This window comes from Homo sapiens, chromosome 2 (genome assembly GCF_000001405.40).
Source record: "Homo sapiens chromosome 2, GRCh38.p14 Primary Assembly".
Taxonomy (NCBI): Eukaryota; Metazoa; Chordata; class Mammalia; order Primates; family Hominidae; genus Homo; species Homo sapiens.
The window spans coordinates 201,522,691-201,544,629 of record NC_000002.12 but is presented as its reverse complement, the minus strand read 5'-3'; the positions used below and the strand labels follow the sequence as shown (position 1 = coordinate 201,544,629).

General features: G+C 36.6%; 1 protein-coding gene across 19 annotated transcripts in view, besides 1 other annotated feature; it reads left to right on the top strand.

Annotated features, from left to right (window-relative positions):
* The window catches only part of CATSPERT (catsper channel auxiliary subunit tau), a 131,758-nt gene that overhangs the window by 74,549 nt on the left and 35,270 nt on the right, over positions 1-21,939 (top strand). For 8 of the 19 annotated variants that reach the window (XR_007069662.1, XM_047443510.1, XM_047443509.1 and 5 more), the window contains 2 exons: positions 7,148-7,194; positions 8,310-8,609. The exons of 3 other annotated variants lie outside the window; for them this stretch is intronic. Coding sequence is in view for 15 of the 16 variants with exons in the window: in XM_047443510.1 (XP_047299466.1) it covers positions 7,148-7,194; positions 8,310-8,609 (347 nt within the window). In the remaining variant the exon portion in view is untranslated. Of the gene's footprint in view, positions 1-7,147; positions 7,195-8,309; positions 10,311-21,939 lie in introns of those variants that run through there. 8 more of the 19 variants (XM_047443508.1, XM_024452728.2, NM_152525.6 and 5 more) reach the window with 3 other exon arrangements.
* Positions 19,497-19,697: a silencer, noted in NCBI's record as "peak4010 fragment used in MPRA reporter construct". NCBI's record gives its function as "represses an SCP1 promoter by STARR-seq MPRAs in K562 erythroleukemia cells {active_cell/tissue: K562}" and the evidence as "EXISTENCE:reporter gene assay evidence [ECO:0000049][PMID:32103011]".

Genomic DNA, 21,939 nt, shown 5'->3' with positions numbered 1-21,939 from the left:
TTAGACATTGTGAACTATAGAGCTATTGGTCTCTTTTATGTAGAGGAGTGTGTTTATGCAGAGGAATGTGTGTGTGTGTGTGTGTGAAAAAGAAAGTGTGGCAGAGGAAGAAGGAGAGGAAATTAGATTAGCATTACATTTGAGAATTTATCATAAAGTATCAGTAAGAGATTTAATAAGTGGACTGTTCATGCAGTCTTTTAAAAATCTCTTAAATTCACTAAGAAAGCAAGTGAAACCCAGCCATCCCATTACTGGGTATGTACCCAAAGGATTATAAATCATGCTGCTCTAAAGACACATGCACACGTATGTTTATTGCGGCACTATTCACAATAGCAAAGACTTGGAACCAAACCAGATGTCCAACAATGATAGACTGGATTAAGAAAATACGGCACATATACACCATGGAATACTATGCAGCCATAAAAAAGGATGAGTTCATGTCCTTTGTAGGGAAATGGATGAAGCTGAAAACCATCATTCTGAGCAAACTATCACAAGGACAAAAAAACGAACACCGCATGTTCTCACTCATAGGTGGGAAATGAACAATGAGAACACTTGGACACAGGAAGGGGAACATCACACACTGGGGCCTGTCGTGGGATGGGGGCAGTGGGGAGGGATAGCATTAGGTGATATACCTAATGTAAATGATGAGTTAATGGGTGCAGCACACCAACATGGCACATGTATACATATGTAACAAATCTGTATGTTGTGCACATGTACCCTAGAACTTAAAGTATAATAATAAAAAAAAGAAAGCAAGTTAAAGTATAGTACTACACTTTAAAATACATAATAATATTTCTTTATCTTTGTTTGCGGATGGCAGGATCTTACATATAGAAAATTCTGTAGACTCCACACAAAAAGACCTGTTAGAACCAATACATGAATTCAGTAAAGTTGCAGGAGATAAAACCAACACAGAAAAATCAGTTTTGTTTCTATACACTAACAATGAACTATCCAAAAAAGAAATCAAGAAAATAATTCCAGTTTACAATAGCATCAAAAAGAATAAAATAATTAGGAATAAACTTTTCAAAGGAGGTCAAAGACCTTGCACTCTGAAAACTAAAAAACATTGATAATGAAATTAAGGATAAGAAAATAAAGGGAAAAATATCCTGTGTTCATGAGTTTGAAGATTTAATACTCTGAAAAATGTTCATACTACCCAAAGCAATCTACAGATTCAGTGCAATCTCTATCAAAATTCTAATGGTGTTTTTCACAGAAGTAGAAAAAGCAATCCTAAAATTTATGTGGAACCACAGAGGACTCTGGATAGTCAAAACAGTCTTGAGAAAGAAGAACGTGGAGGTATCACACGTTCTGATTTCAAAATGTATTACAAAACTATAGCAATTAAAATAGCATGGACTGGCATAAAGATAAACATATAGATCAATAGAATAGAAGAGAGAGCCTAGAAATAAACCCATGCAAATGTGATGAACTGATCTTTGAGAAGTGTGCCAAGAATACACACAATGAGGAAAGAATAGTCTTTTCAGCAAATGGTGTTGGGAAAACTGGATATTCACATGCAAAAGAATTGAAATTAGACTTTTGCTTAACACCATAAACAAAAATCAATTCTCAATGGATTAATGACTTAAATGTAAGACTGGAAACTGTAAAACTCCTAGAAGAAAACATAGGGGAAAATCTCATTGACACTGGTGTTGGCAATGATTTATTGGATAAGACACCAAAGGCACAGGCAACAAAAACAAAAACAGACAGTGGGGCTATATCAAATTAAAAAGCTTCTACACAGTAAAGGAAACAACAGAGTGAAGAGGAAACCTACAGAATGGGGGAATATATTTGTAAACCATATATTTGTTAAAGGGCTAATATTCCAAAACATATAAGGAAACTTTTCAACTCAATAGCAAAAAAATAAATAAATAAAAAATGGACTGAGCACTTGAATACATATTTATCCAAAGAAGACATTACAAGTGTCCAATGGGTATACAAAAACTGTTTATCATCATTAATCATCAGGTAAATACAAATCAAAATCATAATGAGATATCACACCTGTTAAGATGGCTATTATTGAAAAGTCAACAAGTGTTGGCAAGGATGTGAAGAAATTTGAACCCTAGTACACTGTTGGGGGAATGTAAAATGATGCAGCTGCTTTTGAAAACAGCATGGTGGTTACTCAAAAAAATGACAAATAGATAAATCATATGATCCTGCCATTTCACTTCTGGGTGTCTATCCAAAAGAATTGAAATCAGCATCTCAAGGCAATATTTGCACTCCTATGTTTATTGCCATGTTATTACTATAGTCAAGATGTAGAAACAACCTAAATGTCATAGATGAATGAATAAACAAAATGTGGTATACACACATAATTCAGAGACATTGCAGGTTCAGTTCTAGACCACCACAATAAAGCAAGTCATGTGATTTTTTTTTGTTTCCTAGGGCATATAAACATTACATTTACACTATACTTTTGTCTATTAAGTGTGCAATAGCATTATGTAAAAAGTCAATGTACATGACTTAATTAAAAAATACTTAATTGCTGGCTGGGCACAGTGGCTCATGCATGTAATATCAGCACTCTGGGAGGCCAAGGCAGGAGGATTGCATGAACCCAAGAGTTCAAGGGTGCAGTGCATCAGGTAGGATCATGCCACTGTACTTCGGCCTGGGTGGCAGAGCAAGACCCTATCTCAAAAAATAGAGAGGCCAGGCACAGTGGCTCAAGCTTGTAATCTCAGCACTTTGGGAGGCCGAGGCAGGCAGATCACCTGAGGTCAGGAGTTCAAGACCAGCCTGGCCAACATGGTGAAACCCTATCTCTACTAAAAATACAAAAATTAGCAGGGTGTGGTCGCTCACGCCTGTAGTCCCAGCTACTCAGGAGGCTGAGACATGAGAATCTCTTGAACCCGGGAGGTGGAGGTTGCAGTAAGCTGAGATCATGCCACTGCACTCCAGCCTGGGTAACAGAGTGAGATGAGACTCTGTCATATATATATGTATGGGTTTTTTGTAAATTTTATATATATATATATATATATATATATATATATATATATATATATATAAAATCATCTGAGCCTTCAGTGAGTTGCAATATTTTTGCTGCTGGAGGGTCTTGCCTTGATCTTAATGGCTGGGACTGATCAAGATGGTAGTTGCTGAAGGTTGGGGTGGCTGTGGCAATTTTTAAAAATAAGACAACAATGAATTTTGCTGCGTCAGTTGGCTCTTCCTTTCATGAAGGATTTCTCTGTAGTATGCGATGGTGTTTGATAGCATTTTACCCACAGTAGAACTTCTTTCAAAATTGGAGTCAATCCTCTCAAACCCTGCTGCTGCTTTGTCAACTAAGTTTATATAGAATTCTAAATCCTTTGTTGTCATTTTAGCAGTGTTCACAGCATCTTTGGCAGTAGATTCCATCTCAAGAAACCACTTTTCTTTGCTCATCCATAAGAAGCAATTCCTCATCCATTCAAATTTTATAATGAGATTGTAGCAGTTTACTCACATCTTCAGGCTTCACTTCTAATTCTACCTCTGTTGCTATTTTCATCACATCTGTAGTTACTTTCTCTACTGAAGTTTTATTGAACATCTTAAAGTCATCCATGAGGGTTGTAATCAACTGCTTCCAAATTCCTGTTAATGTTGGTATTTTGAGCTCCTCTCCTGAAGCACAAATGTCCTTAATGGCATCTAGAATGGTAAATCCTTTGCAGAAGGTTTTCGATTTACTTTGCCAAGATCCCTCAGAGGAATTATCTAAGGCAGCTAAAGCCTTACAAAATGTATTTCTGAAATGAGAGGACTTGAAAGTTGAAATTACTCCTTGATCTGTGAGCTGCAGAATGGATCTATGTTTGCAGGCATGAAAGCAACATTAATGTCCTCAGACATTTCCATCAGAGCTCTTGGATGACCAGGTGCATTGTCACTGAGCAGTAATATTTTGAAAGGTATCTTTTTTTCTGAATAGTAAGTCTCAACAGCAAGCTTAAAATATTCAGTAAACCATGCTGCAAACAGATCTGCTGTCATCCATGCTTTGTTGTTCCATTTATAGAGCACAGGCAGAGTACACTTGACATAAATGTTAAGGGCCCTGGGATTTTTAGAATGGTAAATGAGCATTGGCTTCAATTTAAAATCAGCAGCTACATTAGCCTCTAACAAGAGAGTTGGCCTGTCCTTTGAAGCGTTGAAGCCAGGCATTGAGTTCTCCTCTCTAGCTATGAAAGTCTAGATGACACCTTCTTTCAGTATAAGACTGTTTCATCTACGATAAAAACCTATTTAGTGTAGTCACTTTTATCAATATCTTAGCTAGATCTTCTGGGTAACTCGCTGCAGCTTCTACATCAGCACTTGCTGCTTTACCTTGCACTTTTGTGTTACAAAAATACTGTCTTTCCTTAAACCTCACGAACCAACATTTGCTGGCTTCAAGGTTTTCTTCTGCAGCCACCTCACCTCTCAGCTTTCATTGGATTGAAGAGAGTTAGGGGCTTTCTCTGGATTAGGCTTTGGCTTAAGGGACTGTTTGTGGCTGGTTTAATCTTCTGTCCAGATTATTAAAATTTTCTCCATATCTGCAATAAGCTGTTTTGCTTTCTTATCATTTGTGTGTGGAGTAGCACTTCTCGCTTTTGTCAAAAATGTTTTCCTTTGCATTCTCATCTGGGCTGTTTGGTGCAAGAGGCCTAGCTTTTGGCCTATCTCAGCTTTCAACATGCCTTCCTCAGTAAGCTTAATCATTTCTAGCTTTTGATTTAAAGTGAGGGATGTACAAATCTTCTTTCACTTGAACACTTAGATCCATTTTGGGGTTATTAATGGCCTAATTTCAATATTGTTGTGTCTCTGGGAATAGAGAGGCCAAGGAGAGGAAGAAAGATGGGGGAACAGCTGGTCAGTGGCATAGTTACAACACACACAACATTTATAAATTAAGTTTGCCATCTTACAAAAGTCTAATATCCAGCATTTATAAGGGATCTTGGCAAAAAAAACCAAAACCAAAAACAAAAAAAAAACAACCTCGTTAAAAAGTGGGCAAAGATTTACAAAAAAAAAAAAAAAAAACCTCGTTAAAAAGTGGGCAAAGGACATGAACAGACACTTTTCAAAAGAAGACACACATATGGCCAACAGGCATATGAAAAAATGCTCAACATCACTGATCATTAGAGAAATGTGAATCAAAACCATAATGAGATACCATCTCACACCAGTCAGAATGGCTACTATTAAAAAGTCAAAAAATAACAGATGCCGGCAAGGTTGCAGAGAAAAAGGAATGCTTATACACTGTTGGTGGGAGTGTAAATTAGTTCAACTACTGTAGAAGACAGTGTGGTGGTTCCTCAAAGACCTAAAGACAGAAATGCCATTTGACCCAGCAATCCCATTACTGGGTATATACCCAAAGGAATATAAATCATTCTTTTATAAAGACACATGCACAGGTATGTTCATGGCAGTACCATTCACAATAGCAAAGAAATGGAATCAAGCTAAATGCCCATCAATGGTAGACTGGATAAAGAAAATGTAGTACATATACACCATAGAATACTATGCAGCCATAAAAAGAATGAGATCATGTCCTTTGCAGGAGCATAGATGGAGCTGGAGACCATTATCCTTAGCAACAAATGCAGGAACAGAAAACTAAATACCACATGTTCTTACTTATAAGTGGGAGCTAAATGATGAGAGCACATGGACACATAGAGGGGAACAACACACACTGGGACCTATCAGAGAGTGGAGGGTAGGAGGAGGCAGAGGATCAGGAAAAATAACTAATGGATAATAGGCTTAATACCTGGTGATGAAATAATCTGTCCAACAAACCCCCATGACACACGTTTACCTATATAACAAACCAACACATGTACAATTGAACTTAAAAGTTAAATTTTTATAAAAAAAGTTTGCTATCTTAGATGGGTGTGGTTTGTGGTGCCCCTCAACAATTACAATAGTAACATCAAAGATCACTGGTCATAGAGTACCATAAAAGATATTATAATAATGAAAAAGTTTGAAATATTTTGAGAATTATCAAAATGTGATGCAGAGACACTAAGTGAACACATGCTTTTGGAAAAATGGCACCAGTAGTCTTGCTCAACGCAAGGTTGCCACAGACCTTCAATTTGTACAAAACACAGTATCTGAGAAGTGCAATAAAAAGAGATATGCCAGTCTACATACAATGGGATATCATTCAGCATTTAAAAATAAGGAAATCCTGCCATATGTGACAACGTGGATGGACCTTGAGGACATTATACTAAGTGAAATAAGCCAGTCACAGAAAGACAAATATTGCATGATGCCATATATGTGAGGTATATGAAATAGTCAGAGTAGAATGCTGGTTGCCTGAGGCTAGGGGGAGGGGCAAATAGGGAATTGCTTTTCAACAAGTATAAAGTTTAAGTTATGCAAGATGATGAAGTTCTAGAGATCTGCTTTACAACATTGTGCTGATAGTTAACATTATTGTGTTTTGCACTAGAAAATTTAAGAGGATAGGTCTCATGTGAATTGTTCTTACCACCATTAAAAGAAAAAAGAAAGAGCTGAACGAAGTCATGTAGTTGTGACCATAGCAAATTTTTTTGCTAGAATTCTGCTTCAGTTATTTATTTTCTTTTTGTCCCTTTTAGGTTTTCCCTTTTTACATGCTAAATATGTATTCCTTATATTTCTAGGAAAATTTTACAAGTATTTTAACCAGCCTTCCTTGAATGGTCCTATTTTGTCTGATTTCATATGCCTTTATTCTAGTCTCTTCTTCCAATCCCAGTCCCATCACTTATCATCTGGAGTTTATTTCCTCCCAACTTTTAAAAAATATAGCATGTACCTGTGTTTGTGTCTTGTATTTATGGATCTGAAATGTTATCATTTACCACTCCCCCATCTTCCCAGAGATTCATCAGCTTGTTTATACTAAGTAGTGTTTATGTTTGGATAGCTGCTTTGATTTAAGTTGCTCTTTGTTTTTAGTGAGAAAAAATGTAATAGTATTTTATTAATGTACATACATATGTGTTTATTGTTTTTATGTAAAATAAAATACCCCTATTAATTGTTTAAGCAGATATCCCTCTTGTAAATGAGGAAGCTGAAACTACTGCAAATGAGGTAAGGGAAATTGGAAGAGAACTTTTAATAGTCATTATTTTATAAAGGGATAAAATATTTATAAATGGAGAAATATTTATAGATAGAGAAAGGCATCCAAGAAGTTACTCAGTTGTTTTATGGTTTCTATTATGGCAATATCTGTATAGTTACACTCTTGAAAGAGCCTTCTGCATAAAATAGTAACATTTAAAAATATGAAGATAGGGGACAAAATGTGTTGAGGAAGAGATGAAGGAGAAACAAGAAAAAAGCATGAAGTTCTACGTAAGATCTTAGAAATAAATGCCATAGATGTAACTGCAGTTTTTACTCTTTCTCACCAAAATCTTTTATCATATTGTAAACTTTGCACAGGAAATGATATTCTATAGTTTAAAATAGAAATAAACAAAACATAGAGTTTACATAATATAATTTGCTTTTCAGCTAAATTTACATAAGGTATTCATTCCATAAAGGAGTGGCTCCCCATGTAAATCAGTGAAGAGTAAAATGTTCACTTACTGCTTGACAAGTAGGATTTAATGATTTCCATTCCTGGGTCAGTGGCTCCCAAATACCAATTGAAGAGTCAGTATGTATTACTGTTTTCCGCAGTTCAAGGAGAGTAAAAGAAGATAATATAGAGAATTTTTCATAAAGCTAAATTTATTTAGTTTAACAGGCTATCCTTTATTTTACAATATTGTTCTTTGTACTGTGGTGCTATTAATATTCTCTTTATTTTCTTATATAGTTGTGATTTATGGTATCATTCCTTGTGCATTTTGTTATTAAAATTTCCTTTGTTTCATGATATATTGGTGACAGTGTAATAACAGTAAAATGTCAGACCCTCAGATTTTTTATTTTGAGATGTTGCTGATTTATAAATTTGGATATATGAGAACCACTGCTTTATCATTTTTATGGATAGTATTCTACAGTCCATGGTTTCAGGCAAGTAAAGAACTTACTATGTTTACTAAGGAATTAAAATTTACAAATAATAATGGTAATTTGTTATGCTAAAGGATAAGGGTACAATTGATTTTGAGTCATTTTCTTAATTTGTAAAATTTTCCAGTCAATAATGATTAACTGGTAGTTTGTTTTATTGCTGTATTTTCTAGTTACTGGATAATGATTCTGAGAAAGGCCTGACTATACCAACTTTGAACCAATCGGACCAAGATAATTCAACTGCTGATGCTTCTAAAAATGATGAATCAACACCTTCACCCACAGAAGTGCACTCATTGTGCACTATTTCTAACCAGGAAACAATAAAAGCAGGCAGAATACCACCTTTAGGTGAACGTCAATCAGAAAGCATGCCAGACAGAAAAATGAAAAATGTATTTTTTCCATTAGAAGTAAAATTAAAAGATAACTATCCAAGCATTTTAAAAGCAGACTCATCTCTATCAGAGGTAAATTTGAGGAGTATCTGTATAAATCCAAAGAGCAGGAACTTAGATTCATCTCCAACAGAAATTAGCTGGCAAAACAACAATCTAAACTTAGCTGAAAGGGAGAACACAGGCTTAGTTTCCACCAGATTAAAAATTAAAAGGTAGCTTTCAAAGCCAAGACCCAAAAGAAGGCCTTGAGCTCAAGGTGTCTGCCCTTATATTAGAAGTATAAGACTAGGGAGACAAAATAATCTATTTTAAAAAATTAAATACAAATAAATCGAAAATGCATTCAAATGTCTCCAAGTGGAAATGTGTCTAAGTATATTAAATATTCCTGCTTTACTTATATCAATCAAGAAATGAGGATAAAAAACTTTCAAGAAAAGCAAAGTGATTTGAGATGCCAGTAATACAAATTAATCTCTTGGGTTAGTAATTCAGCTGAAAGTGTAACGACAATAACAAAATGTAAATTCAAAGGAAATTTAAAAGCCTGAGGAGTTATTTCAGTGGAAATTCTTAATAAAACTATTATATTATAGGAAATAACATGTTCTCCTTATTACAAATAATTTTATAGTTTAAAATGAGAATAAGAGTGTGAATTTAAAGGTACACCAAATAATAGACTTTCTCAAAATGACAGCCATTCTACTTATATCTTTATATCTTATTGGAATAACTATTACAGGTAGTTCATCAAATGGTATAAAAAGATATATAGGTCAGAAGATAAAGAATTTGAGTTCTAAGTGAGATTCTGCTTCTAAATACTAGCTTGGGCATCTAAGTCTCTAGACCTATTTTTCTCATTATTTGAATGGTAGATCAGACTAGGTCATTTCTAAATTCTCTCCCAAATTTCAAAAGACATAATTTTAACTGGGAATTACTCTCAGTTACCTATGTCAAATAACATTCTTGTTTTTTCTGAATGTGAAAGTAATGCACAGTCACAGAAAATTTAGAAAATGGAGAGAAATGTAAAAGAAAAAATAAAAGCAGTTATAATTCTACTGCTAGATTTAACAATTTTATTTTCTTTTAGTCTTTCTTATGCATATGTACATATATCTTTTATGAATTTTAAAAGCTTGAATCAAAATAGACATATAATTTTTATTTTTTGACTTTACATGCATGCCACTTGAATTTTCTTAAAAATCTGCAAGATGTAGAATATCCTCAAATATTAATATTCCATAAGTTTTTAAACAGTTTTCATATTGTTGGACATTAAGTTTGAAATTAACACTTTTGCTTATTTATTTAGATCTGTGGATCTGTGATTATCTCCTAATGTATTTACAGAAATGGCATGCTAACAAATTGCTCTCCAGAAAGACTGTACCACTTTACATTCTTACCAACAGTATTTGAGTATTAATGGTCTTTTAAATAATGATTAACACTTTTTTTTGCTCATTAGTCATTTTGGTTTTCCCTGCTATGAGTAGACAGATCATGTCCTTTGTCCATTTTTTTGTTTGAAGACTTGGGGATTTTGTTTAGGTTTTATAATGAGCTCTTTTTATTTTCAAGATATTAACCACTTGTATGGGCACATAGTTTGTAGTTTACCTTTTAATGTATGTATTACATTCAGTCTGACTTCCAAAATATTCAACTTTCACTTGATAAGTAAGTTATTTATTGCTGTATAACAAACCACTCCAAAACCTAGTGGATTAAAAAAGATGTTTTATTATCTCTCAAGATACTGTGGGGTTGACTTGCTTGTTGGGCAGTTCTTCTGCTCCACTTGATGTTGGATGTTAGATGGACTTATCTAGGAGCTTGATTAGGCTGGAACACTCATGATCACTCACTTACATGTCTGACACCTTGAATAGCTGTTAGGGCTGGGCTCATCTGGGATGCAAGAACATCTGGTTTAATGTGTCTGTTTCCTTCTTTCTGTCTCAGATATATATATATCTCAGATTTGATAGATAGATAGATAGATAGATAGATAGATAGATAGATAGATAGATAATATACAGATCTCTCTTTCCGTGTAATCTTGGGAATTATCCTTCTCCTTCTCCATGGGGCTTCTACTTGTGCTCTTTCTATGTAATCTCTCTAACAAGGCTGCTGAGCTTTTTATGTGGCAGCTCAAGGCTTCCAAAATACAAAAACAGAACCTTCAGGTCTTCTTAAGACATAGGCTTGGGACGAGCACAGGGTCACCCTCACTAACTTCTGTTAATTACAGCAAGTCCCATACTCAGTCCTGATTCAGTATGGGAAGAGACTACAGAAGGGCATAAATCTTGGGAGGGGTATGCATTGGGGGCCATATTTGGAGATTAACTAAGTTCCAAGTAAATCATATTCCTCCCACATGCAAAATATACTCACTTGCCTCCCAAGATCCTCAATGTCATGCTATTACTGCATCAAGCTCAGGCTTGAAGTACAAAATGTTTTTATCTAACTAAAGTTCATGTGGGTGAGGCTTTTTAGGTATGGCTCCTTTCAGACTTAAAATCTATGAATTGAAGAGACCATCTGTCCCCTACATACAATGATGAGCCAAGAACAGGAAAATTGGAACAGACACTTAAATTCTAAATGTAGAGGGAGGGAAAACATGAGGCATATATCAGTCAGTTGACCATAGTAATTCTGAAGTTCTTGGCCTTGCCCTCATGTTTTGGCCTTACCCTTTGAATAAGCCTTTTTCCATAAGAAATAACTTCTGTTTGTAGTTGCAGCCCATGTTCAGTGTGAGGGAAGTTGAAAGTTCAAATGTGTCTTTTCATTTTTGCTTTCAGTGAAGGCTGAAATTTCACATATGTGTCTTTTCTTTCTAAACTATCCCTGTTCCTTTCAGTCTAAGATGCTATTATTCTCTTAAAGATTTTGTGGGCTTCCTGTGTATCAAATTAAGATCTCAATTAGTCAAATGTTACACTTCTAAATATCTTCAAGACAGGCCCCTGTTTCCTTGGGCTGAGAGTCAGGGTGCTGTGGCAAAATGTCCTTAAGAAATTTAGAAGTGCCCTTGTCTGGCAAAGAAGGCCTGAGATGCCACTTAAGATTCTTAAAATAATTTTTGTCTAGCTGAGTAGGCCTATGAGTCACCACCTTAAATCTTTTTGAGGCCTTAACAGATCTTACAGCCATACCCTTGTCATCTTGACCCTGAACCACATTCCAATGAACCCACAACTGAGTCCCCAATGACTAATATATTACCAAATGTGGTTATCAGTTCTCAGTCCTCATCTCTGTGACTACTTAGCCGCATTTGACAAAATAGTTCCACCCTTTTCTTGAAACTGATCTTTTTCACTGGCCTTTTGTAATATTACATTCTCCTAGTTTTCTTCCTTCTTCGTTGACTACTCTTTGCTGGGGAGGTCTCAATTGTCTCACACCCAGTCCTTGTATTTTATTTTTTTCTCTAACCTTGTATTTTATTTTTTCTCTAACTCTCTAACCTGAATAATAGGTTATTCATTCAGCCCTGTAACTTTAAATATAATTTATAAATGAATAACTTCCACATCTTGGGGCTCTTCTTTGAACTCCAAGAGCATATATGTAAAAACTTACTTCACTTAGATAGCTTATAGAAACGTCAAACTTAACATGACGAAGACTGAATTCTTAATTTCACCTCCACTAACTCTCCACCCCTAATTTAGATTCCCTCCTCTTAATGTTGCCTATTCCTTTAATCTTTTCAGCATATAAACATTCCAGGCATTATTTCTAGGTGAATGAAATATGTTGTTGAACATAAAAGACAAAAATAAATGTTCTTGTGGAGCTTATATTCAAAAAAGACAAAAATAAATGTTCTTGTGGAGTTTATATTCTTATAAATGGCACCTCTAAACTGTTAAGACCAACACCCTAGGAGTCAGCCTTGATATCGTGGTTTCTCTCATCTCTTATATCCAATCCACCATCAAGTCTTGTTAATTCTGTATTCAAAATGTATCTGAAATCCACCACTGTAATTGCTATCACCTTAGACCAAGCTACTTTCATCTCTCCTGTCTGCTATAAAAGCTGTTTTCCTACTTCCAATTTTGCCTCTATCTGGTTTGTTCTTCTCATAGCAGCCAGACCGATCTTGTAAAGACGAAATCTAAATCATGTCACTCCTCTGATCAGTATTCTTCAATGGCGTGTTTTCATGCCTGGAATAAAGTCCAAACTTCTCACCATCATCTACAATGCCCCTATTTAATCTTTCTGTCCTCATGTGTTAGCATTGTTCCCTTTGTTCACTCTGCTTCAGCCACATTAGTATTCTTACTATTCCTTGAACAAACTAAACTTATTCCAGCCTCAAGCTCTTTCTAATATTCTTCTCTGTCAGGGGAGTGCTCTCCCCTGCGGATCTTCTCAGGGTTCATTCATTCACACCATTTAGGACTCTGCTCAGATGTTCCCTCCTTAGTGGAGGCTGGGTTTGGGGGCTCCTCTGACCACTCTATGTAAAGTAATTATCTACCCATCCACCCTCCTCCATCCCTAGTATTCTTTCTTCATATATCATTTCCTGGTATCATATTATGTTTCTTTAGTCATTTATTGTCTGTTACTCCCATTTGACTTTAAATTACAGATGGTACTGAGATTTAGTCTTATTTACCACTGTATCTTACTATCTAGTAATAATGATGAGTATTTTAAACTCAAAGACATACATAATTAGAGCTGTTACTACTTAGAACTCACCACTAATAGTGATGAGTCCACGGTAGGCAGTAGTAAATATCTGTTGAATTAGTTTAGTTAAAAATACTGCAGGGTCGGCCAGGCGCGGTGGCTCACCCCTATAATCCCAGCACTCTGGGAGGCCGAGGCAGGTGAATCACGAGGTCAGGAGATCAAGACCATCCTGGCTAACACGGTGAAACCCTGTCTCTACTAAAAAACAAAAAATTAGCTGGGCGTGGTGGCGGGCGCCTGTAGTCCCAGCTACTCAGGAGGCTGAGGCAGGAGAATGGCGTGAACCAGGGAGGCGGAGCTTGCAGTGAGCTGAGATCGCGCCACTGCACTCCAGCCTGGGCAACAGAGTGAGACTCCATCTCAAAAAAAAAAAAAAAAACCCACAAAAAACAAAACAAAACAAAAACACTGCAGTGTCTTGAGGCATTTGCTCTGGGAATACATTATAACTCCTGGGCCGCACTGTATGTAATTAAATCAATCACATAGTCATAGGAAATGCAATCATTTTAATACTCTGAAGGTGGATGAACCATCTAGCTCTGACACACTAAATGTCAGGCATAAGGCAGCAAGATTATTTCCACAAAGGGTAAGTGGTAAGAGCTCTAATTGAGTTTAAAAGCCTGTAGGGTCTGCAGAAGATTAGGGTTAATGAAGGCAGAGAGTGATATATGTGACATCATTAACCTCATATCTCCGATTCATCCATTTATATTTAACTGCCCTCTTTAAGCCATGAATTCCATGCATTAAATTTTAAATCCCTTACTAATGATTGATGGTACTGTTGGGAAATATGCCGTAATCTCTCCAAAACCTTGTCCTTGCTAATTCTGTACTTGGAATCAACCAAAACCATGCATGTGAAATGCACCTTGCAATTATTTTATCCACAGACAGAATTTTCTTCTTTTTTAAGGCTGCGTAGTATTCCACTGTGTACATATACTATATTTTCTTTATCCATTGATCTGTTGATAGACACTTAAGTTGCTTCCATATCTTAGCTATTACAATAGCACAACAGTAAACACGGGGATGCAGATATCTCTTTGATATACCAACTTCAAATCCTTTGGATATATACCCAGAAGTAGGATTGCTGGACCATATGGTAATTCTATTTTTAGTTTTATTGGGAACCTCCATACTACTTTCTAAAATGGCTGTACTAATTTATATTCCCACAAATAGTGTACAAGGGTTCCCTTTTCTCCACATCCTTGCCAACACGTATCATTCTTCTTTTTGATAATAGCCCTTGTAACAGGCATGAAATGATATCATATTGTGGTTTCAATTTGCATTTCTCTGATGATCAGAGATATTGAGTATTTTTAGTATATCTATTGGCCTTTCATATGTCTTCCTTTGAGCCATGTCTGTTCAGTTCCTTTGCCCATTTTAAAATTAGGTTATTTGTTTTCTTGCTTTTGGGTTGTTTGTGTACCTTATATATTTTGAATATTAGCCCCTTATCAGCTGTATGGTTTGCAGATATTTTCTTCCAGTTCATGTTTTGTCTCTTCACTCTGTTCATTGTTTCCTTTTCTGTACAGAAGCTTTTGATTTGATGCAACTCCATTTGTCTTATTTTTGCTTTTCGTGCCTGCATTTTTGGAGTCCTATCCAAGAAATCATTGCATAGACCAGTATTGTGGAGATTTTCCCTTATGTTTTCCTCTATTAACTTTACAATTCCACATTTCCACATCTTACATATAAGTCTTTTATACATTTTGAGATGATTTTTGTGTATGGTGTGAGATAAGTGTCCAATTTTATCTTCTGGGCCATATCTATTTTTCCCAACATCATTTATTAAAGAGTCTGTTCTTTCCCTTTTGTGTTTTTGGCATCTTTGTCAAATATCAACTAATTATAAATACTGAATACTTGGGTTTATTACTGGGTTGTCTACCTGTTCCATTGGTTTATGTGTCTTTGTGCCAGTGCCATGCTGTTTTTATTACAATAGCTTTATAACATAATTTGAAACCAGGGAGTTGTGATGCATCTAGCTTTGTTCTTTTTGCTCGAGATTGCTTTGGCTGTTTGGGGTATTTTATGGTTCCATATGGGTTTTAGGATTATTTTTTCTATTTCTGTGAAAAATGACATTGGAGTTTTAGTGGGAATTGGATTGAATCTGTAGACTGCATTGGGTAGTATGGATGTTTTAAAAATATTAATTCTTACAATTCATGAATATGGTCTATCTTTCCATTTGTTTTTATCTTCTTTCTTTCCTCAGTGTTTCATAGTTTTCCTTGTAGAAGTCTTTTACCTCCTTGGTTAAATTTATTCCTAGGTATTTTATTTTTAGTATAGCTATGGTAAATGGGATTGCCTCCTTGATTTCTTTTTTAGCTAGCTCACTGTGTATAGAAACTACTAATTTTTGTTGTTTTGTTCCTTCCAAGTTTTATTTTAGGTTCAGGAGTTACTTCTGCAGGCTTGTTACATGGGTAAATTTCATGTCTCTGGGGCTTAGTGTACAAATTATTTTATCACCCAGGTAGCAAATATTGTATCCAATAGGTAGTTTTTCGATACTCACCCTCCTTCTACCTTCCACCCTCAAGTAGGCCCTGGTATCTGTTCCCTTCTTTCTGTCCATGTGTATTCAATGTTTAGCTCCCACTTATAAGTGAGAACATGTAGTATTTCGTTTTCTATTCCTGCATTAATTCCCTTAGGATAATGGTCTTGAGCTGCATCCATGTTTCTGCAAATGACATGATTTCTTTTTTTTTATAGTTGCATCAGATTCCGTGGAATATACATACCACATTTGCCTTATCCAATCTACCATTGATGGGAGTCTAGGTTGATTCCATGTCTTTCCTATTGTGAATAGTGCTATGATGAACATATACATGAATGTGTCTTTTTGGTAGAATAATTTATATTCCTTGGGTATATACCCAGTAATGGGATTGCTGGGTCAAGTGGTAGTTCTGTTTTAAGTTCTTTGAGAAATCTCCAAACAGCTTTTCACAGTGGGTGAAGTAATTTACATTTACACCAACAGTATATAAGTGTTCCCTTTTCTCCACAGCCTCACCAGCATCTATTGTTTTTTGACTTTTTAATAATAGCCATTCTGAATGGTGTGAGATGTTAACTCATTGTGGTTTTGATTTGCATTTCTCTCTGATGATGAGTAATGTTGAGCATATTTTCATACGTTTATTGGTGGTGTATATATCTTTTGATAGGTGTCTGTTCATGTCCTTTGCCCACTTTTTAATGTTTTTTTTTTTTTTCGCTTTTTGCTTGTTGATTCAAGTTCCTTATAGATTCTGGATATTAGACTTTTTTCAGAAGTGTAGTTTGCAAATATTTTCTCCCATTCTTTAAGTTGTCTGTTTACTCTGTTGATAGTTTCTTCTGCTGTGCAGAAGCTCTTTAGTTTTTATTAGGTCCTACTTGTCAATTTTTATTTTTGTTGCAATTGTTTTTGGAGTCTTCATAATTAAATCTTTTCCAGGGTCTATGTCCAGAATGGTGTTTCCTAGGTTTCCTTCTAGGGTTTTTATAGTTTTAGGTTTTCCATTTAAGTCTTTAATCTAACTTGAGTTGATTTTGGTAGATGGTGAAAGGAAGGGGTCTGTTTTAATCTTCTGCATGTGGCTAGCAAGTTATCCTAGCACCATTTATTGAGTGGGGAGTGCCTTTCCCACTGCTTGTTATTGTCGACTTTGTCAAAAATCAGATGGATGTAGGTGTGTGGCTTTATTTCTGGGTTCACCATTCTGTTCCATTGGTCTATGTGTCTGTTTTTGTACCAATACCATGCTGTTTTGGTTACTGTAACCTTGTACTGTAGTTTGAAGTTGGGTAGTGTGATGCCTCCAGCTTTGTTCTTTCTGCTTAAGATTGCTTTGACTATTTTGGCTCTTTTTGGCTCCATATGAATTTTAGAATAGCTTTTTTCTAATTCTGCAAAGAATGTCATTGGTGGTTTGGTAGGAATAGTATTGGATCTATAAATTTCTTGGGGCAGTATGGCTATTTTAACAATATTAATTCTTCCTCTCCATGAGCATGGAATATTTTACCATTTGTTTGTCTTGTCTATGATTTCTTTTAGCAGTGTTTTGTAATTCTGGTTGTAGAGATCTTTCACCTCCCTGGTTAGCTGTATTTCTAGGTATTTTACTCTTATTTTGGCTATGTGAATGGGATTGTGTTCTTGATTTGGCTCTCAGCTTGGACATTATTGGTGTATAGAAATGCTAATGATTTTTATACATTGATTTTTGCATCCTGAAACTGCCGACGTTGTTTATCAGATCTAGAAGCCTTTGGGCAGAGACTATGGGGTTTTGTAGGTATAGAATTATATCATCTGCAAAAAGGGATAGTTTGACTTCTTCACTTCCTTTTTGGATGCATTTTATTTCTTTATCTTGCCTGATTTTGGAAGAACTTCCAGAACTACATTGAATAGGAGTAGTGAGAGTTGGTATCCTTGTCTTGTTTTGGTTCTCAAGGGAATGTTTCCAGCTTTTCCCCATTCAGTATGATGTTGGCTTTGGGTTTGTCATACATGGCTCTTAATATTTTGAGATATGTTCCTCTGATGCCGTCTTTTGAGAGTTTTTGACATGCAGGGATGTTGAATTTTATTGAAAGCTTTTTCTATGTCTATTGAGATGATCATGTTGTTTTTAGTTCTGTTCACGTGATGAATCACATTTATTGATTTGCTTATGTTGAACCAACCTTGCATCCCAGGAATAAAGCCTACTTGATCATGGTAGATTAGCTTTCTGATGTGCTGCTGGATTTGGTTTGCTAGGTTTTTGTTTTTTGAGATGGAGTCTTGCTTTGTCGTTCAGGCTGTAGTGCAGTGGCGTGATCTCGGATCACTGCAGCCTCTGCCTCCTGGGTTCAAGCGATTGTCCTGCCTCAGCCTCCTGAGTAGCTGGGACTACAGGTGTGTGCCACCACACCCGCCTAATTTTTGTATTTTTAGTAGAGACAGGATTTCACCATATTGGCCAGGCTGATCTCAAACCCTGACCTCAAGTGATCCACCTGCCTCAGCCTCCCAAAGTGCTGGGATTACAGGTGTGAGCCACCATGCCTGGCCCAGTTTGCTAGTATTTTATTGAGGATTTTTGCATCTATGTTCATCAGGGATATTGACCTGAAATTGTTGTTGTTGTTGTTGTGTCTCTGCTAGGTTTTGGTATCAGAATGATGCTGGCCTCTTAGAGTGAGTTAAAGAAGACTATCTCCTTCTTAAATTTTTGGAATAGTTTCAGTAGAATTGGTACAAGTTCTTCTTTATACATCTGGTAGAATTCAGCTGTGAATTATCTGGTCCTGGGCTTTTTCTGATTGGCAGGTTTTTTATTACTGATTCAATTTTGGAACACACCAATGGTCTGTTCAGGGTTTCAGTTTCCTCCTGGTTAGGTCTTGGAGGTTGTATGTATCCAGGAATTTATCCATTTTTTCTATGTTTTCTAGCTTGTGTGTATAGAGGTGTTTTAAATAGTCTCTGAAGGTTTTTTGTATTTCTGTGGAGTTGATGATAATGTTCCCTTTGTCATTTCTGATTGTGTTTATTTGGATCTTCTCTCTTTTTCTTGATTAGTCTAACTAGCAGCCTATCAATCTTATTTATATTTTCAAAGAACCAACTTTTGGTTTCATTGATCTTTTGTGTCAGTTTTCACATCTCCATTTTGTTCAGTTCAGCTCTGATTTTGGTTATTTCTTTTCTTCTGCTGGCTTTGTTGTTGATTTCCTCTAATTTTTCTGCTTCCTGTAGAAAAATTCTGCTTCCTGTGACATTAGGTTGTTAATTTAAGACCTTTCTAACTTTTGATGTGGGCATTTAGTGCTATAGACTTTCCTCTTAATGCTTTTGCTGGGTCTCAGAGATCTTGGTATGTTTTATCCTTGTTCTCATTAATTTCAAAGAATTTCTTGATTTCTGCCTTAATTTCATTATTTACCCAAAAGTCATTCAGAATTAGGTTGTCTAATTTCCATGTGATTATATGGCTTTGAGCAATTTTCTTAGTATTGATCTGTATTTTTGTTGTACTATGGTCCCAGAGCATGGTTGATATAATTTTTTTTAAATTTACTGAGAGTTGTTTTATTTCTGGTTGTGTGGCCAATTTTAGAGCATGTGCCACATGCACATGAGAAGAATGTATATTCTGTTATTCTGGGGCAGAGAGTTCTGTAGATGTCCGTTAGGTCCACTTGGTCAAATGTCAAGTTTAGGTCCCGAATATCTTTGTTAGTTTTCTGCCTCAATGAGCTAATACTCTCAGTGGGGTGTCAAAGTCTCCCACTGTTTTTGTGTGGTTATCTAAGTCTCCTTGTAGGTCTCTAAGAACTTGTTTCATGTATCTGGGTGCTCCAGTGTTGGGTGCATATATATTTAGGATAGTTAAGTCTTCTTGTTGAAGTGAACCCTTTATCTTACGTAATGTCTTACTTTGTCTTTTTTTATCGTTGTTGGCTTAAAGTCTGTTTTGTCTGAAATAAGAATAGCAACTGCTGTTCTCTTTTGTTTTGTTTGCTTGATAGATCATTCTCCATCCCTTTACTTTGAGCCTATGGGTGTCATTGCATGTGAGATGGGTCTTTTAAGGACACCATACAGTTGGGTCTTGCTTCTTTGTCCAGCTTGCCACTCTGCCTTTTAAGTGGAGGCACATTACATTTACATTCAAGATTAATATTGATTTATGTGGATTTGATCCTGTCGTCATGTTGTTAGCTGGTTGTTGTGTAGACTTGATTGTGTAGTTGTTTTATAGTGTCAGTGGGCTGTGTACTTAAATATGTTTTTTTGGTGACTAGTGAGTCTTTTTTCCCCCATATTTAGCACTTCCTTGCTGCCTTCTTGTAAGGCAGTTCTGATGGTAAAGAATTCCCTTAGCATTCACTTGTCTGAAAATGATCTTATTTCCTCTTAGCTTATGAAGCTTAGTTTGGCTGGATATAAAATTCCTGGTTGGAATTTCTTTTCTTTAAGGTTGTTGAGTATAGGCTCCCAATCTCTTCTGGCATATAAGGTTTCTGCTGAAGGGTCTCTTGTGAGCCTGATGGGGTTTCATTTGTAGATGACCTGCCCTTTTTTCCTCTAGCTACCTTTAATATTTTTTCTTTTGCATTGACCTTGGAGAATCTGATGACTATATGTCTTGGGGATGGTCATCTATATGTCTTGGTGATGGGGATAACTATATGTCTTGGGGATGGGGATTATATATTTTGTGGACAATATCCTGAAATATATTTTCCAAGTTGCTTGCTCTCTCTCCCTTTCTTAAGGGATACCAATGAGTTGTAGGGCTGGTTTCTTTACATAACCCTATATTTCTCAGATATTTTGTTCATTTTTCTTAATTTTTAAAAATTTTTTCTCACTAAATTAATTCAAAGAACTGGTCTTTGAGGTCTGAGATTCTTTCCTCAGCTTGGTCTATTCTGCTTTTGATGCTTCTGATTGTATTGTGAAATTCTTATAGTGAGTTTTTCAGCTCTACCAGATTAGTTTGTCTCCTGCTTAAAATGACTATTTTGTCTTTCAGCTCTTGACTCATTTCACTGGATTCCTTAGATTCCTTGAATTGGGTTTCAACTTTCTCCTGAATCTTGATGACTTTGCTGCCAAACAGATTCTGGGTTCTATGTCTGTCATTTCGGCATTTCAGTCTGGTTAAGAACCATTGCTGGGGAGCTAGTGCAGTTGTTCAGAGGTAAGGAGACACTCTGGCTTTTAGAGTTGCCAGAGTTCTTTCACTGGTTCATTCTCATCTGTGTGAGCTGATGTTCCTTTAATCTTTAAAGTTGCTGTCCTTTGGATGGGGCTTCTTGCTTTTGTATTCTTTGATTCCCTTGAGGGTTTGGCTGTGGTATAAGTTGGGTTTAGTCGACTGGCTTCATTTCTGGATGATTTCAGTGGGTCAAGGCTCAGCTCAGCACTCCTGGGCTGTGTGCTCTAACCCTGGGGGCCTAGCACCAGGCACACTGCTTTGTTCTCTGGCCCCTCAAGGTTAAGCATCTGCTGGAGGGCCTGAGGTGTTCCTGGTCCTTGGGAAACAATACTCCAATGGGGACTGCTGGCAGAAGTGCTTTGTTGGAGTGACGTCAGTGGGGTCTGCACACACATGCACACCAGCAGGGTCAGCATGATGGCAGCGGCAAGGTCCACGTGCATGCACTGGTATGGCAGGGCAGTGAGGTCCACACACACGTGTGCTGGCAAAGTGGTGGGGGGAGGCTGCAGGTGGATGCATGCTGGCAGGGGCCCATCTACAAAAGCTCTCTGATGGTTAGGCAGGATCTGCCAGCCAAAGAGCTATGGCAGTGGCTTCTGGGAAACACCCCGGTTGGGCATCTGAGGCTGCACTGCAAGTCGGAGTGGCCAAGTAGGGAAGCTGGGAGTGGCCAGCAGATGGGAGGATGGAAGCACTCAGACCAAACTGGCCCTGTCTCACAGGCAAGATACCCCTGTTCTATCCAGGTCCAACAGTCAACAAAAGCCAAAATCACCTAGAGGAATATGGCAGGCCTTGCAGAATGGCCATCTCTGGCCATGGTCCACTGCAGTTTTCCTGCACCTAAACCCTCTGGGCTCCACACAGGTTGGAGCCCTGTCCCTGCC